The following is a 3,353-nucleotide window of genomic DNA, read 5'->3' on the forward strand; positions in this document are numbered from 1 at the left end:
ATGTATTGGGTTTAATCTAGATTATCTTGTCCTATTATGTACTAAATTAGGTCTTGGGAGCCCAGAGGTGAGCAAAATAGATACAGTCTAGACTCTCAGAGCTTACAGTCTATTTAGAGATTCCAGTCTGGAACATGACATGAATAATTACAAACACAATTAATTGTCATTATGATATGTATTTTAAAGCAGAAGTACAGGGCACAGTGAGAGCGCTTAACAGAGGGACATGAACTGGTCTGGGGTCTGAGAGGCTTCTCTTGAGGAAGAGAGATTTAAGATTTAAGATCTTAAGATTTAAAAAAGGTGAGGAGGAGAACTTAGCAAAGCAAAGCGGAGAGAGACAGAGGAAACAGCAAAGGCTGGGAGGTAAGAAGATGGTGGAGCCCTTGGGGAACTGAAAGAAACAGTGTGTGGGTGGCACTTTCCGGTGGTTCAGGGCTCCAGTCCTGCCTTCTCCTCCTCGAAGTCTCCCTTTCAGCTCCAGGACAGACAGGCACTGAGCTCTTTCCTGCTAAACTCTGTTTTGACTTCCTCTGGCACTTAGTTCTGTATCAGGTCATGCTGTCCCTGGGCTGCTGTCTTCTTCTGCTGTGTGGTCCTTGTGTTGAAAAATAACTTTCTTTGTGTTACTACTCCTCCCAACTCCTCTTCTCTTTGCTGAACTTGGAGCAGTTACTCAATAGATGATTGATTTAACCTCACTTGTAATAAAAATTGCAAATCAAACTATCCTTGAGACATCATTTCTCACCTCTAAAATGGAAAGATATGTAGAAAATGGGAGAACCCAGTGAGGGTACCAACAGGAAGAAGTAGACACTCTGATACAGTGGCATGGGAAGGCAAATTCAGACACACTTTATAGACAGGAATTTGGTAAAATAAATCAAAAAGCCTTATACATATGCACAGCCCCTAATTCCATAATTTCACATCTAGGAATTTATCCTAAGGAAATTATCACAAATGTGTCCAAAGAGACAGCTAAGATATTCATGGCAGCATTCTTTACAACACTGAGCCAGTTAAGTATTTAACAATTAGAGACTAGGTAAGTAAACTGTAGTGTACACATATAATGGATTTTGTTAGAGCCTTGAAAATGAAGTTTAGTGATTCCTCCAGAAACCCAGACCTGAGTCCAAATTCTGGTTCCCAAAATTCTCAGCCTTCCTTCTCTGGAAAAGCCATTCAATGTTTTGGAGGCTGGGTTCTCTTGCACAAAGGGAAAGACTACCTATGTCTTTCTCAGCTGGGTTGCTGTGAGGTTGAATGTGATAACGTGGTTGTGGATGAAGAGTGAAGCTTCAACCTCTGTGGGGTTTTTTAAATCCTGAAATATCCGGGTTTGCTTGTCACCCTAGACTCCATTCAAACCCAAGACTTGGCCTTTACTACCCTAAGGGAAAAAGGATTCCAGTGACATCTGTAGCTGTGGAAGTCCACAAGGCTGAGGTCTTCTTGACAGGAACAAGAGCTTAGAAAGGTTTTCTGAAGAATTATTTATTACCCTAAACTCCCTAAATTCCAGACTGGAGGAAGAGTGCAAAGTTAAACACTTAGATTCAAGTGGAACTCTGTGAACAGTGCCTCTCTGGGGCAAAGCTCTGGAGAGGTGTTAGGGAGCAGGGCCACTTTAAGTTTTGGATTCTGTGGGCGTCTCACTGCTCTGGTGAGGCCTGGCTATCTGGATTCAAATTCCAGCTCCATCTCTTAATGGCTGTGTGCATTATTCAGAGTTCTCCAGAGAAACAGAACCAATAGAACATAGATATAGAAGAAGGTATTTATTAGGGGAATTGGGACACACAATTATGAAAGTGGACAAGTCCCACAAAATGCTATCTACAAGCTGGAGAACCAGGAAAGTAGGTGGTTTAATTCATCCAAGTCCGAAGGCCTGAGAACCTGGACTTCTGATGTCTGAGGGCAGGAAAATATGAATGTCCCAGCTCAAGCAGAGACAGCAAATTTGCCCTTCTTCCACCCTCTTGTTCTGTTGAGGGCCTCACAGATTGGATGACGCCCACTCACGTTGGTGAGGGCCGATCTTCTTTACTCAGTTCACCAATTCAAATGCTAATCTTTTTCAGAAACACGTTCACAGACATGCTCAGAAATAATATTTGACCAGCTATCTGGGCATCCCTTAGCCCAGTCAAGTTGGCATATAAAAATCAATGCTCACACTGTGTGACCTTAGGCCGGGGACTTAAGTGTTTGAACCTCAGTTTTCCCAGCTATGATAGGGGATAATAATGGATCTTACTGTAGAGAGTTGTTGGTGGGAATAAGTGAAGCACATCTTGTAAAGTGCTAAGAATGGTGACTAAAAAAGACTCAGTATGTTGGGTGAAAAAAGGCCAAGGGAGATTGAAGGCCTGGTGGGGAGGACACTAATGTCAACGTGGTGCATGGGAGCATGGGAGCATGGGCATGGTGGTGGTATGGTCGGGTACGTGAAATCCAGAGAGAGAGAGAGAGAGAGTATGTGTGCCTTTCCAGTGTCCCTGGAGTGTCATGGTCCCTGGCCCCTAAATAGGACTTGAAGATTAGGGGGAAGGGAGAGAGTGGGCTAGGAGTTCTACAGGCCTTCTTGTGGCCCAGACATAGGGACTGCAGCAAAGGATGTGAGGATTAGAGAAGGTGTGTTCCATGCCAGAGGGCAGCTGATGTTGGGGAGGGCATCATGGTACAGGCTACATCTTCATGGATGCCAATAGAGGACATGGATGGGTGTATTAGTCCATTTTCACACTGCTATAAAGAACTACCTGAGACTTGACAATTTTTAAAGATAAGAGGTTTAATTGGCTCACCATTCTGCATGGCTAGGGAGGCCTCAGGAAGCTTACAATCATGGTAAAGGGGAAGCAAGGCATGTCTTACATGGTGGCAGAAGAGAGAGAGGGTGAGGGGGGAAGTGCCACACCTTTAAACCATCAGATCTCATGAGAACTCACTCACTATCACAATAACAGGATGGGGGACACAACCGCCATGATTCAATTATCTCCACTGGGTCCGTCTCACAACACATGGGGATTATGGGAACTACAATTCAAGATGAGATTTGGGTGGGGACACAGCCATACCATATCAATGGGCAAAAACACAGACCTGGTCATCCCTCCCCACTAATGGCATAGCAAGATCTGAACACTCCTTGCTATCTTCCCTGTGGAGAGTAAAGGAGTGAGAAAAATCTAAAATCTGACTTGGTTTAACCTGAAGTCAATGAGAAGAATAAAAATCACTAAAGCAATTGAGTTTACTTGGAAGTGACAAGATTAAATGTTCTGCTTCAGAGAGTTTGGGAGACTCAAGACAGAAATTCAGTTCAGTGGGAA

At 43.8% G+C, this 3,353-nt stretch overlaps 1 annotated feature.

Annotated features, from left to right (window-relative positions):
* Window positions 554-603: an enhancer, noted in NCBI's record as "active region_7113". NCBI's record gives its function as "activates an Ori minimal core promoter by ATAC-STARR-seq in GM12878 lymphoblastoid cells {active_cell/tissue: GM12878}" and the evidence as "EXISTENCE:reporter gene assay evidence [ECO:0000049][PMID:35858748]".

This window comes from Homo sapiens, chromosome 12, assembly GCF_000001405.40.
Source record: "Homo sapiens chromosome 12, GRCh38.p14 Primary Assembly".
Lineage (NCBI taxonomy): Eukaryota > Metazoa > Chordata > Mammalia > Primates > Hominidae > Homo > Homo sapiens.